Source organism: Homo sapiens, chromosome 13, assembly GCF_000001405.40.
Source record: "Homo sapiens chromosome 13, GRCh38.p14 Primary Assembly".
NCBI classification, from domain to species: Eukaryota; Metazoa; Chordata; class Mammalia; order Primates; family Hominidae; genus Homo; species Homo sapiens.
The window spans coordinates 99,278,779-99,294,170 of NC_000013.11; the positions used below are offsets into that span (position 1 = coordinate 99,278,779).

The 15,392-nt window shown below is 40.5% G+C and overlaps 1 protein-coding gene across 6 annotated transcripts in view; it reads left to right on the forward strand.

Annotated features, from left to right (window-relative positions):
• The window catches only part of UBAC2 (UBA domain containing 2), a 185,651-nt gene that overhangs the window by 77,925 nt on the left and 92,334 nt on the right, over nucleotides 1–15,392 (forward strand). The window lies entirely within an intron of this gene.

Here is a 15,392-nt window from a genome sequence, read left to right on the forward strand (position 1 = left end):
TACGAAAACATTTTTAGAGAGACTAAGAAATCTGTCCAGGAACATATAACTCAGTTGAAATTTTAACCTACATCACTTGAATCTAAAACCGCCATGCCTCCAAGTCAAGGTAAAGCAACAGAAACTGTCAGGCTTATGGTTCCTCATGATCATCAGTTTGCAGAGAATTATATTTCTGAGTATTGATTATAACAAATGTGTGTGAATGTTGACTTTCCTTCATGAGTTACTCAGTATTTATACTGAGAAAAGTAGACTTTAGTCTGCTGTTGTGTAGCCAAAGCCTTTGGATTTTAAGCTGTTCCCTTTCTCCTTCCTTTTCCCACCTCCCTCTCGGCTTGCCACCTCTTTTCTCCTTTTCCCCCTTTTCTTACCCCTTTATCTCCCCTGCTTTTGCACTGATCCCCACTCCTCTTCCCCTCCCAACAGTACCTACTGGTTTGGTTAGCCCTACCGGGGATTTTAGTAAATAAATACTTAAATGCTTGAATGTGATTGCACAGAGCAAAGTTGACTAATAAAAAGTTGATCAAAATTTGTATCTAGAATGAAGGATGTGAGAGAATAAACTGCCACCATTCAAGTGTTTCAAGAGAAGCTTAAAGGTAATTTTTTGCAGAAGCTGTCTTTGACTACCCCCACCCTCAGACTAGGTCACAGTCTCTTGTGATATGCTTTCTTAGAACATTTTTCTTTCTTATAGCACTCATCACTATAGATAGTAAATAAGATGTAACAAATGATTTGATACCTGCCACCTCCACTAGAATACAGACTTTGTGCCAGGAGGAGACTGTGTTAGTTTGTCTCACTAATGATGCCTCACTGCCTTAGCCTGTTCAGGCTCCTCTAACAAAATGCCCTAGACTGTGTGACTTATAAACAACCGAAATTTATTTCTCACAGTTCTGGAGGCTGAGAAGTCCAGGATCAAGGCACTGGCAGATTTGGTGTTTGGGGCTGTCTTTTCGTGGTGTCCTCACATGGCAGAAAGCAGAGAGTTCAATGGGTTCCCTTTTATAAGGGCACTAATCCTATTTGTGAAGACTCTACCCTCATGACCTAATCACCACTCAAAAGCCCCACCTCCTAAGAGCATCACACTGGGGGTTAGGATTTTAACATGTGAATTTGGAGAGGACAGAAACATTCAGTTGATAGCACTTGGTTAGCATAGTGGCTCCCACATAGTGGACACAACTGTGAGATGGATGGATTGATAGAGCAAATAGATTAATGAAAAGTATTTGATCTTTTGATTTCATCTCCTTTGGTTTGGACTATTGCTGTAGCCTCCTAACTGTTCTCCCTGTCACCATCTCAATGCCATCATCTGCACTGCCCCACTCCCCTAATTTTATCTACAAAGGAGATCTGGTCTTATTCCTTTACACCTTGAGAAATCTCCTATGGCTTCCTCCTGCTGTTTTATAAAGTTTAACTTGCTTGTGACACACCTCAGAGCTCCAGCCAATCTTCCCAGCCTCATTTTCTGTCATTCCTTCCTTGTACTCTGCATGTCAGCTAAATTGCATTACTCACTACTGCCTGTCACGCATACATCATTACAGATTTCTCTGGATTCATTTATTACGACAATTGTGGTTACAACATCCCTTCTCCCCTTTGCTTGACAAACTTCTACCAAGAAAACAAGGAGAACTTCAAGTGTCCCCTTGGGTAGCTCTGCTCCACGAAACCCTGCTCCAGCCAGAGTTGGAATTAACCTCTCCTTCCTTCTTGCTCCCAGTTAACTTTGTGCTTGTAAGTTATGTGAAACATTCATTACTTGAGATGGTAATTATTTACCTAATTGACCACTCTCTCAACTGGATGCTTTTGAAAGAGCAGGATCTTACTCTCTCTTACAGCTCCCTCAGCATGGAGTAGTGAAGAGTGTTCTTTAATACCAAAGGGACAAAGAAAGCTGACTGGGATCGGTCTGCCACATGCTAGTTGCTTCAGTTATTTTTTTGCACTAAATTATTGTGTCTCTGCTAATGTCCTTTTTCCTTTCTTCCTTCCCTCCCTTCTTCCTTCCTTCTTCTTTCCCTCTCTCTCTCTCTCTCTCTCTCTTTCTCACTCAGTAAGCTACCTCAAATCTGTTACTTAAGAGAAAAATGTAGGCTGGGCGTGGTGGCTCACGCCTGTAATCCCATCACTTTGGGAGGCCGAGGCAGGCAGATCACTTGAGGTCAGGAGTTTGAGACCAGCGTGGCCAACATAGTGAAACTCCATCTCTGCTAAAAATACAAAAATAAGCCAGGTGTGTTGGCGGGCACCTGTAATCCCAGCTACTTGGGAGGCTGAGGCAGGAGAATAGCTTGAACCCAGGAGGCAGAGGAGGTTGCAGTGAGATGAGATCACACCATGGTACTCCAGCCTGGGTGACAGAGCGAGACTCCATCTCAAAAAAAACAAAACAAAACAAAACAAAAAAAAACAACAGCAACAACAAAAAAGTATAAAAGTTGAATTTCACATTTGGGTTCAGTGATTTTTTTTTTTAAGGATTGAAATGTGGACTTATAAAATCATTTCCAGCATCTTACCTAAGAGAGAAGCATATAATCCATTCATTCTTATATTCACAAGATATCTCCTTTCTCAACCAAAAAGTTCTCACACTTTGGGCTCAGTTCAGTATTTGGGTGTTGGATACCATGTGTCCGGCATTGTACTTGGTACTATGTCACCTTGGTAGTCAGCAAGCACACGCCAGGCTCATCCCAGACACTCTGCAGGTGTGCCACTTTCTCTCCTTAGAACAGCCCTGGAAGGTGAGAACTCGCATCTACTTTGAGGAAACAGGCTCAGAAACCTTCAGCGCTATTTTCTATAAATTGATAAAAGAAAAATCATGATGTTAGAAGATACATAACAAGAGGAAGAGGCTTTTCTTGTCTCACTTATGTCTTGACATTGCCTGAGGACTGATTAGGAACTGAGATTGCCAATCATTTTAACAAGATTTTAGTAATGTTTGAAGATCTGTGCCTTCTGAATCAAAGTGGCGTGCAGAGGTACTTACCTTATGGATTGCTGGCTAATTGTGAAAGGAGACTCAGGCTTTTAACACTGCAGGAATTTCAAACTGCGGTCTCAGTGGCCAGAGTGTCTTACCAGGGAGCAGACCTAATGTATCCAGTTTAAAAGGGCGTGTAAGCTGTTGCCAGAAGTCTACATGAAGCCACATGATAAGTGATTTTGTATTTGAACATGAAGGGCAGTGGCATCATTGACCTAAGCTAGAGTTTCCTCACCCTCAGCACTTTTGACATTTTAGTTGCATAACCCTTTGCGGTGGGGGCGGTCCCGTGCACTGCAGGGTGGCTGGCAGCATCACTGGCCTCCACCCAGTGTATGCTGTTAGCAAAACCTCCTTTCCCCAGTCTTACCCCAGTCATGACAACTAAAAATGTCTCCAGATAATGCCAAATGACACTTGGGGGGCAAAATCACCCATGATGGAGAGTCATGACATGCATGATGCTGGGTGGTAGATAGAACCCTGGAAAGAGTTAGCCCACACCCTTGAGGAGCTCATGACCTAGGAAGCTTGTTGAGAACTTTTGACTAGGTAGAATATTTCTAGTAGTTGACTGAAATAGCTTTGGTTGAGGCTATTAGTAAAAATTTGTTTTAAAGAGGTTTAACATCTGTTTTCATTTCTGCTTTTCTGAGTTGCTTTGCTGCTCAATTCCTTTTATTTTAGCTGTCTTCCTCTTGGGACTTCAAACATTTGAGTGTGTCAAAATTTCCAGTCTAATAGGAAATATGTTTTGTTCAAAAAGAAATAAAGATATTTATAACTGTTGGGCTAGAATGATGGAAGTTTAACGCTGGTTAAGTGAGACTCAGGTAACAGACAGCAAAGGAGATACTTTAATAGTGAAGGGAACTTGAAGTCTGGTTGTATTCAAGATTCACTTCCTGTTCTTGTTTATCACTGGAAAGTTGCACCTTGTGAAAGATTTTAGATTTAGATCATTGTATTGTTCTAAGAAAAAAAATTCAAAATGCTAACCATGTCTTGGTAACTATAGCAAAATATACAGCACACAAAAATAATCTCATACCTGTCTTAGGGTTGGATTTTTTGGTATATGTTATGTGTTGAGTTCTGAAATATCTAATGTGCTTGAAATCTAATGTGCTTTTGTTATCTGAACTAAAGGAAAAAGGCTTTGTCAGTTACAAGAGAATAGGCATCCCTGTTTTGGCTGGATTGTTAGTTGAAGTAATAGAATGAATTCTGGCTGATTCAGCAGAAAGGGAATTTATTAAAGTAGCTCAGAGAATATTTAGGAAGGCAAATAATCAGTCATGGGTACACCAGAGCTAGAATCAACACTTTACAGTTCTCTCTCCTAAAATTATTTTGTTTACTTACTTAATGTTTAATATTGGCTTCTAGGATGTAGGATTCAGAGAGCAACTTGGTCTGTGTGGTTTTCAGCTGTTATTCCAGTGTGTAGAATAGCAGCTGGTTCATAGAGACACTTGATAATTATTTGCTGTATAAATAAATGACAATACCAAGGATAGGTTTGTTAATATCAGTGACAATATGAAGGAAAAATATGGAGTAACATTATGAAATGTTAACATTACGCATTCCATTTGGAGATTTTTTTTTGACAGCAGGATTTACCCTTTCTCTTAAGAAATCTTAATAAATTTATATTGAACAATTTTGTACCGTAGAGCCTTGTTTGACATATGTTCCTGATTTAAATGAATAGCCAGATTTAAATGAATAGCCACAAGCAGACTTGCAAGAGTAGATGTTGCTATTGCTGTGTTCTACATGAGAAAGCTGAGGGTCTGAGGATTGAGTCACTAAGTGACGGCTACTTAAGTGGCAAGCCTGGATGGAAACTCATGCCTGTCTGAATTGTGGCTCAGACATTTCCTTAATGCCTTAATGCCACCTTTTTTTTTTTTTTTTTTTTTTTTTTTTTTTTTTTTTTTGAGACTGAGTCTTGCTCTTTTACCCAGGCCAGAGTGCAGTGGTGCTATCTCGGCTCACTGCAGCCTCTGCCTCCCGGGTTCAAGCTATTCTCCTGCCTCAGCCTCCTGAGTAGCTGAAATTACAGGCGTGTGCCACCACGCCCAGCTAATTTTTGTATTTTTAATAGAGACGGTGTTTCACCATGTAGGTCAGGCTGGTCTCAAACTCCTGACCTCGTGATCTGTCTGCCTTGGCCTCCCAAAGTGCTGGGATAACAGGCGTGAGCCACCACGCCTGGCCAATGCCACTTTATTTTTAAAGGTAAAACAGTCTAGTTAATGGTCACTATAGCAGGAAGCAACTTGAGCATTTTAACTTGCCAGACTGAGGCTGTGTATTTCAACTTTAGCAATGTAAATGTCCAAAGACAACTTATATGATTGTATTCAAACTTTGCTGCTAAAATAAGAAGTACAAATAAACACACAATGCAAAGAAAAAAAGTTCCAATTGGGGGGAAGTGCCCCCATGAATGGGGCCTGAAGAAGCACTATATGACACTCCAGTTATTTAGCTATTACTTGTATTTTCATTTAATAGACTGAAGAAACTGCTGTTTCTTTTCAGTAGCTACCAAATGCTGCCACTTATGTTTTATACTTTTTGAAAATTTTAAAATAGTTCTGGTTTATAGAAAAGTTGCAAGGATAAAACAAAGAACTCCCATATACCCTAAAACCAGATGCCCCCGTTATTAACATTTTCCGCATTTGCTGTTATCATTTTCTCTCTACACAGTATTTTTTCTGAATCATTTGAAAGCAAGTTGTAGACATAATGTCCCTTTGACTCCAAAATACCATGAGTATGTATTACTTTATTCACATCTGGCAATTGTCCAAATAATGTCCTTTATGGCAAAAAGGAAAATCAAAATTCTAGTCCATCGTCTGGTTCAGTATTACATGTTGCATTTCATTGGTACATCCCCTTACTGTTTAATCCGGACTGTTCCTCAGTCTGTCTTGGGCGACCTTGGCATTTTTGAAGACTGTAAGCCAGGACTTACAGAAAACGATACATATTCTAAGGCTGCTGGAAAATTAAAGTTTGTGAAGGTGAAGCAGTAGATGAAAATAATGTGTAGTTTTCGTATTTCTCTTGGAATAACATTTTATAACTTTTTCATGAAAAATTTCAGTGACACAAGCAGAGAGAATAAAATGAGCCCTATTACCCAGATTCAGTAATTAACATTTTTGCTATCCTCTTTCCATTCCCTGGCATTTTAAAAGTATTTTGAAGCAATTTCCAGACATCATAATATCATATTTCATATTTCAGAAAGCTCTAAAATGGCATTTCTTATATAACCATAATGTTACCTTACCTAACAAAATTATTCATAATTCTGTAATATTATTTACTACTGAAACTACTGTTTCCACATTTATCCTATTAGCTTGGAAATGCCCTTTTACATTTGCTTTTGCATTCGATTGTGGTGTGTCTTAAGTAGCTGCTGCTGCTGCTGCTGCTCCTCCTGCTCCTCCTCTTCCTCCTCTTCTTCCTCCCTTTGGTAGAGTATTTTTGTACTTTATTAGAATGGTATGGTGGGTATACTAGATTAACTGGCTCATTATTTATTATTACCTTTCTTCTTTTTTTTTTTTTTAAGAGACAATTGTCTTGCTCTGTCACCCAGGCTGGAGTGCAGTGGTGCGATTGTAGCTCACTGTAACGTCAAACTTCTGGGCTCAAGGGATCCTCCTGCCTTAGCCTCCTGAGTAGCTAGGACTACAGGCATGTGCCACCACGCCCAGCTAATTCTTAATTTTTTATAGAGACAACGTCTCGTTATGTTGCCCAGGCTGGTCTCAAACTCCTGGCCTCAAGTGACCCTCCTGCCTTGGCCTCCCAGAGTGTTGGGATTATAGGCATGAGCCACCATGCCCGGCCAGCTGGCTCATTATCTGTTCCAGGGTTCTCCTAGTGTACTTCCCATAAAGCAGAGGTTGGAAAGCTGAATGCTCTATTTCTTAAACTCCCTTGCCTGGAGTTCTGGATATGATTTAGGTTCCATTATTCAGAAAAACGTGTGGCTCTTGAATTCAGTATGAGCCAAGGCATATGAGATAGCCATTTTCCTGGTGCAGTTCTACACATCCAACGGGGTGCCAGAGTTCACAGTTCAACTCCCTGAAACTCCCTGATCCCTAGACTCTGCCAAAGTGGTTTGACCTTGGAGCTCACAGTTGATGTAATTAACTTTTGTGATTTCCCAGCTGCCTCAGTGTGTCAGAGGAAACAGTTCTCCTGGTAGACCAGTCCTTATGTGTTCCAGGAGTCTATTCCTGGAGGCGCTGGATCTGGCCTTCTAGCCTTTTCAGCAATTGTATAAGCACCGAATTCTGTGTACTAAATCTGCTGCCCAAAATAGCTGACAAGATTTCTGTTATCTATAACTGAACCTTGGCTGACAGAACTGCTAATCAAAAGAATGTAACATTTATATTTGACTTCAAATGTATATATACAAAGCAACATACCTGGATCTGAAACATTTAGATTTGAACTGGGACATAGTTCTTCCTTGTGGTCCTTTGTGTTAGGAGATCAAGTTCCTCAAAGAACATTGTGTGTGTGTTTATGAAGCCTTGCTGATCTTTTCATGTGGCTTTCTGGTATAACCTATTCTTTGCTGGTGACTTTGTTACCACCAGCCATCTCTTATTAGGACTTCTTTTTTTTAATATTTATTTATTTTTAATTTTTTTCCCACTTTTAGGTTCGGGGGGTACATATGCAGGTTTATTACATGGGTAAATTGTGTGTCACTCAGGCTTGGGGTACAAATGAGCCCATCACCCAGGTAGTGACCATAGTACCCCATATGTGGCTTTTCAACCTCCATCACCCCACACTCCCCCAACAAGCAGTCCCCAGTGTCTATTCTGTTGTTCCTATCTTCGTGTCCATGTGTATTCAATGTTTAGCTCCCACTTATACGTACAAACATGCAGAATTTAGTTTGCTGTTGCCACGTTATTCTTAGGACTCCTTGAAGGTCTGCTGAGACTCCCCTCACATGTAACCTTAGAATGTGGCCAGTGCGCGTCCCATTCTCCTATGATTTGAATTGCTGTGCTTAACTGATTGGAGATGGAGACTGGTAACTGTGTCTCAGTTCTTTCTGAATCCATCCCTGAATTTCTGCCTCTACCCCCGATGTAACAAGAGTAAGGGCATGTGTTAGAGAACATACTTACCATTTTTAGAAATTTATTACAGAAATTTTCAAATATACATAAATACAGAGAGAATGGTATAATGACTACCATGTACCCATCACCTTTTAATCATTTTTTCAAACACACAAACTTCAAATAATTTGACAGTTGGATCCCTAATGGGACACTGGTTTCCATTTTTCATTTTACCATGTGGTTCCTAAAATCTGCATGGTGTTAGCCTGCAGTGTCCCTCAACCCTGCCCTTGCCTCAGATTTGCCAGTATCTCTACGGGCCTCCCCAGAGGCCTGAGTGTCAGGTGCAGGCACAGGCAGGTACCAGGTTTCAAGTAGAGCTCATAGGAGATTGTTGGGACTGAGAACCAGGATTGCCTTGATCTCTTGTCACATGTGTATCAGGCCTGTGGGTCTGTTTTGATAATGTCGTCTTCTTAACTGCTGTTCTTTTTTTTTTAAATTTTGAGACAGGGTCTCACTCTCACCCAGGCTGAAGTGCAGTGGCACGATCATGACTAACTGCAGCCTTGACTTGCTGAGCTCAGGTGATTCTCCCACACCAGCCTCAGTTCTTTCTGAACCCATCCCTGAACTTCTGCCTCCACCCCATGTTGTAACAAGAGTAAGGAAAAATATCTTTCTTTCTTCTTTTTTTTTTCTTTCTTTTTTTTTTTTTTTTTTTTTGGTAGAGACGAGGTTTCGCCATGTTGCCCAGGCTGATCTCCAATTCCTGGGCTCAAGTGAGCCTCCTGTCTCAGCCTGCCAAAGTGCTGGGATTATAGGCGTGAGCCACCACGTGCAGCCTTAACTGCTGTTCTTTTAACAAACCAATAATGTTCAACTTTAGGACCTTCTTGCCCTTGCTCCCTTACTGGGGAAAATAATAAGCAATAATACATGAAATGGCACTTGCATATACTTTCATTACTCTCTTGAACATATAATATATGATATGCTAAAACATACTGTTTGCATTTATTTTTATAGGCTAATATAGGCAGTAACCTTATACATTTTTACTATGTAGCCCCTGCCAAAAAATTTGATACTTCATGCCAGGACTTGATGGGAAAATTGTGGGACTGCTGCCCTCAAGCAATAAGAACGTATCAAAATGTTACTTTTTTTAGATTAGGTCTCAAACCTTTTGTAGCCTCCATGTAGTTTCATTCTGACACACTTTTTTCTTCTCAAAATCTGCCTGGGAAAAGTCATTCTTGTACAGAAACCAGAAATAAATGTTTTAACACTCTGAGAAAATGGATAAAAGCCAATCAGAAAAGCACTTGAGTTCTTGTTTTGGATCAGTTGCAGTAGGTGCCATGTGGGGCAGAAAGTAACGTGGCCCCTGCTCTGGAGTGGTTTTCAGTTGAGTGGACAGGATGTCTAAGAGCATTACTAACTACGAGAAGCCACACAGTTAGCATGCAGATAGACAACAGCTTTAAAATTTTTGAGGAAGGTGAACTCTTGAAACAAAAAGGAAATAATTTATTGTATTGCCCTCTTAAACAGCTTCTTCTTTCTAACAACTACAGTATTGCCAGGATTTCTCTCCATTTGGATATGCATTATCAGAGATAAAGTAGCATAGCAGTCATATGCTGCTTTTTTACATGTGGAAGGAAATGGAAAAGCTAGTGGTGCTCCTCTTATACTCTCAACAGAAAAGTTTCATTTTGGAAAATAAATCCTGACTGATTTAAATGTCATTCTAATTTCTAATTTAATATATTTTCCATGATTAGCATTTTAGTACCAAGCAAGTATTAGTTATCTGTTGCTGCCTAACAAATTATGACATGTAATAATATCAACCTCTTACCATACTTAAAAACTACAAATCATATAATCTCCTCAGCTAATATTTGATGACCTATAGTCAACATGTATTTTTTGGAGCACTGTCTATGTTCAGGGTGTCATGCCCAGTGCTATCCAGAATAGAAAGAAGGAAAAGCTAGTGTCTCTTCCCCAATGGAGTTTATGTTTCATTTGAGGGATACAAGAATATTGCACATGAAATAATAGACCATAGACCGTACGATGGCTGGCAAAGAGCTTGCCTATTATCTAACACTTACTTCACTGACAAGACAATTGAAGTCTAGAAAGGCTCAAAGACTGGACAAAGTGGGATGGAGCTGGGTTGGAGTCTGACAGAACCAGGCCACCCATCTCCAGGCCAGTGTCTTTTTTCTTCCTTTGTTGTAAGATCTAAATTAAAACTATGTGGCATATACTGTAAAAGCCAGATAAGTTGAGGAAAGGAAGATGGATGGCTTTGAGTAGTCAAAGAAGGATTAAGGGAGGCGGTGTGATTTGGATGTAAGTGTAAACAAGAAGGGGAGGAAGCAGGAGAATCCCACTAGAGAGAACCAAACATTTTATCCACAGGACAGACAAAACCAACTAGACAAACTTGAAAGGCCCATATTGGGCAATGGAGATAAATCAGGTTGGAGGGAGTCGAAAGTGTGGGAGAGGAACTTGGACTTGATGTGGTAGATCATGGGGAACTATTCTCAATCCCTGAGCATGAAATGACACAATGAAAGTGGGATTAAGGAAGATTGTTTGCCAAGAGAACTGGATAGTGTCTGCATTTTTCTTTTCTTACACTCTGTGTATTGGTCTTTTTTTTTTCATTCCAAGTAGGTTAAACACTGTTTTAATCAGAACAGGTTAGCTTATGTTGCAGCCACGAAATAACCCTGAAATCACAGTGGCTTAATCCACAGTGTGTTTCTTGTTTGCACACTTGTCTAATGCAGTTGGGTGGGGCATGGGGTGGGAGTTCTCACTTACTCATTCAGGGACCCAGGCTGACAAAGGTGCCACCATCTAGAACATTGCCAAACACTGTGGCAGAGGAGAATGCCACTCCCTCTCACCTCGGGCTGGAAGTGACACACGCGTCTTTTGCCCCCAACCCATTGGTCAGAGGTAGTCACCTGCTCTTCCTCCCCACCCCCAAGGAACTTGAGGATATTTGGTGAGCAGTGTGTGTCTCTTTTAAGGCTTTCTGAGGACCTGGAACATATCTGTTTATTTGTTTAAGAGAGAAAATACGATGATGAAGAGTGCAGACCATGGAGCCAGACCCCAGAGTGTAGAGCCTGGCTCCCCACTTGCTGACTGTGTGACCGTGGGCAAGTTACTCAACCTCTCTGGAGCATAGTTTCATCATCTGGAAAGTGCGACTGATAAATAGAACAAGCCTCACAGCATTCTTGTGAGATTTGAATGAGCACTTTATATGTAAAGTGCTTAAAGCACTATGCTATATAATTGTTAGCAAGTATTTATTATTGTTAATCTGCTGGCTTCTGGTACAGCATCCTAAAGAAAGGCTAAAGTTTCTGACTCTCATCAAGAGGCCTGGGGGAAAGAGGTTGTAATTAGGTGTGCCAAGGCCAGTGTCTGGACTAGGATGATGGTAGTGGGCAAAGAAAACAGGCAAGGCCGGGCGCAGTGGTTTACGCTTGTAATCCCAGCACTTTGGGAGGCCGAGGCAGGTGGATCACTTGAGGTCAGGAGTTTGAGACCAGCCTGGTCAACATGGTGAAACTCATCTCCACTAAAAATACAAAAATTAGCTGGGTGCAGTGGTGGGCACCTGTAATCCCAGCTGCTCAGGAGGCTGAGGCAGGTGAATCATTTAAACCCAGGAGGTGGAGGTTGCAGTGAGCCAAGATTGCGCCACTGCACTCCAGCCTGGGTGACAGCGAGACACCGTTTCACCACCAAAAAAAAAAAAAAAAGAAAGAAAGAAAGAAAAAGAAAAGATAGGGAAGAGTGCATTTAAGAGGAGAGCACCCAGGTAGGGATTTGTTCACCACCTGAATCCCATGAATGAGAGAAAAGTATCAGATGTGGGTGACAGAGAATGCAGGTAGAGTTTGTAGAGAAATTCAGGGGCTTGAGGGGAAAGGTGAATTGAATTCAGATGTGGTGATGGGGAGATGTCCAAGGCCCTGGAGGACATAGGACAGGGAGGAATGGAGCTCAGGCTACAGGGTGGAACCTCTTACTAACCAAGTTTCAGTAAGTGGTGGCATGAATGCTCCAAGTCAGGCCACAGGTTCTGGGACCGGAGAGTGTGGGATTAAACCGGCTCTGCCACACCATGTGACCTTGTTGCTATAGTTTCCTCATCAGCAAGATGGGGATGATAGTCATACCATGTCTTAAGGTAGTGAGGGTTAAATAAGATGATGCCTGTAGAGGACTTGGAAAGTGGCATGTAGTCAGTGATCAGCAAGGTCTTAATCGAATAGAAATTTGGGGGCTGTCTTTTAAGCAACCTGCTTTTCTGAGTTTAATGAAAACCTTCCATTGGCAGCAGTTCTTATGAGTACTCATGTAGTCCTCCCTGGGTTCAAAATAATGGCCTTGTCACCGGGTCACTTGTAATCCACATGCTTTTCATTTTCTCATTCTTCACCCAAATAGTCAGTGAGCAAATATTTTTTAGCTATGAAGAGAATAAGAAATTACAATGGTCCAAAAAGTAACCAAAATAGACCATTTTAAGGGCTAATTTAAGATCAGTGCTTCCCCTTCTAAAATCGCATGCCACCTTGTACTCAATGGTAGGAGCCACTGTCTGCCCTTGCCTCTTGAAATATAAAATTATTTCTGTATTTAGTTTTAAATTGCCTTGTTGGCTAATTAGCGCTCTCCTTTAATGTGTCTAATTTAAATTACAGGATCTTCAAGGGCATACGCTCTATATTGTGTAACTGCCTTCAGTTACACACGTGCTCTAGCATATGTAATTGAATATTTGGGTTGTTTCTTTTCATTGAGAATTAAGAACTTCACAGATATTTCAGTAGGGCTTTAGAATTTTATTAGTAATAATACAAAACATACGTTATCAATTAAATAGATATTTGAGGACCTTCAATGTGTAGGTTCTATGGCAATGCTGTATATATAAGAGAAGAGGCACTTGCCCTCACCGAGCCCACAGCTTAGCCAAGTTTATAATCTATACCTATTGTTGGGTTATTTGTCCTATTTAAGGATTATGAAGTCGGCTAGCATGTAATAAAGCAGTCGAGGCTTCTAACACCTTTTCAGGGGCCACATGATTGAGTTGTCTTCTTTATGGCCAGGATACAGAATTGGGGTTACATTCCTTTTTTTTTTCTTTTCTTTTTTTTTTGAGACAGTCTCTCGCACTGTCACCCAGACTGGAGTGCAGTGGTGCAATCTCTGCTCACTGCAAGCTCCGTCTCCCAGGTTCACGCCATTCTCCCGCCTCAGCCTCCTGAGTAGCTGGGACTACAGGCGCCCACCACCACGCCCAGCTAATTTTTTTTTTTTTGTATTTTTAGTAGAGACCGGGTTTCACCATGTTAGCCAGGATGGTCTCAATCTCCTGACCTCGTGATTCACCCGCCTCGGCCTCCCAAAGTGCAGGGATTACAGGCATGAGCCACTGCGCCCAGCTGGGGTTATATTCCTAATGCTGCCTTTAATTTATCAGGGTGCCTGTTCTGAAGTTAGGTTTCTTTATAAAGTATGGGTGACACTGTTTGCTCAACCTGTTTCACAGGATTGTAGAAAGGAAGATGTTACATAATATATGGACTGTTTTATAAATTATTGAGCTCTTCACATATACATGATGCCATTTCTAACATCTGACACTATTCTATTTTTACTATCCTCTCGCTGAATAGTCAGTGAATTTATTTACACTGATCCAAACTAAATAGCTTTGAGGGTTTTTTTTTTTAATGTGGTCAACTGCCATAATAACGATCCATTTTCCCAGATTAGTTTTTCTAGCTCCCAATTATTATTTAAAATTGTTAATAATGTATCACCCGATTCATGGAGAAAATACTTATAGGGTTGTGATTTTCAAACAGTATGTTATATAATAAAGTCATGTTCTGTAACAGAATATAACAATTATACAGCCCTGTCCTGTTCTCCAAGTTGACCTCCTGGTTAGGAGAATGCCCCGGAAATAAATGTAAAGCTAACTAATAACAAGACAGTGAGAGGATGCCCACAGCCGTGTATGAACAGTGGCTTGATGAGTAGAATGGGCAGCCTTTAAGGGGAGTTATTGGCTGAGTTTGATTGGAGTACAGACTTGTAAGAAAACATTAATTGGAGATAGGATTAGAGTTTACCTTTTTGGCAGTATGGTTGCTGATGACTGGATAAAATCATTTATATAGATTTGTGGTATAGTGGAGGGAGGAGGCAGAAAACTGAACAGATAAAAGAATGTTATTCTGTTGTCAAATGCCATAGGTATTTACTCTCTTGTTTGTAGGATCCTAAGAATTGACTCCCTTAGCCCAGAGAGGACTCTTGCCTACCCTAAGACAGTGTGTTGGCTCATACATCCCAGAAGGCGTCTCTACTCCAGTGTAGTCACAGAACCAGGGCACCACAGAGAAGCTCTGAAATGGAGGAAGCTTTCTTTTTGGTTTTCCTTTAGTAGTCTTCACGATGGTTCCTCTTTAGAGATCCAACTCAGATGACTACCTAAGTGCCAACTTACATACAATTTGTTGTTTTGCCCTTTCTTTTCCTTCACTTGGGAAAGTTTAGAGGTGGAGTGAAGGAAAGGCAGTAAGATTTGGGCTTTCATCCGTGTTGTCTCACCTGTCTGCATAAGATGTTACAAAGACCAGTGCCTATTTTTGACAATGGCTTTAAAATCAGGTGGCTCTTTGTGAAATAAATGTAATGGAAATCTGAATATACTAGTAAATGGTGTTGAATCAACCATTAAGATTAATTTTCATACAGAGTAAAAGTTGAAAATGGGTAAGATGAGAACTTTAAATAAAATATTTTCAGGATATAAAGTCCAATAAAAATTTAAAGTGTAACAGAGTGAGACCCCCTTTCTGAAAAAAATTTTTAAAGTACAACTCAGAATTAACATTTTCTTTATCTACCATTATAAAAATTGGTGTCATTGCCAACAGAGAATACTGCATTGGGGTAGTTTTGGGGATAAAACAAATTTGAACAGGCAGACCAGTTGACTACCTGGAAAGGTCATGCTACTCATACTAAGGTACTCATTTCAGCAAGTATATAATATTGTAAAGAATCCTAAGATGCTTAATTTTGTAAGTTTGCATTTTACTCGGATCGTATTTAGCAAGCAGCAGCTATATTTTTCACTGCTCATCATGCACCACCCTTCT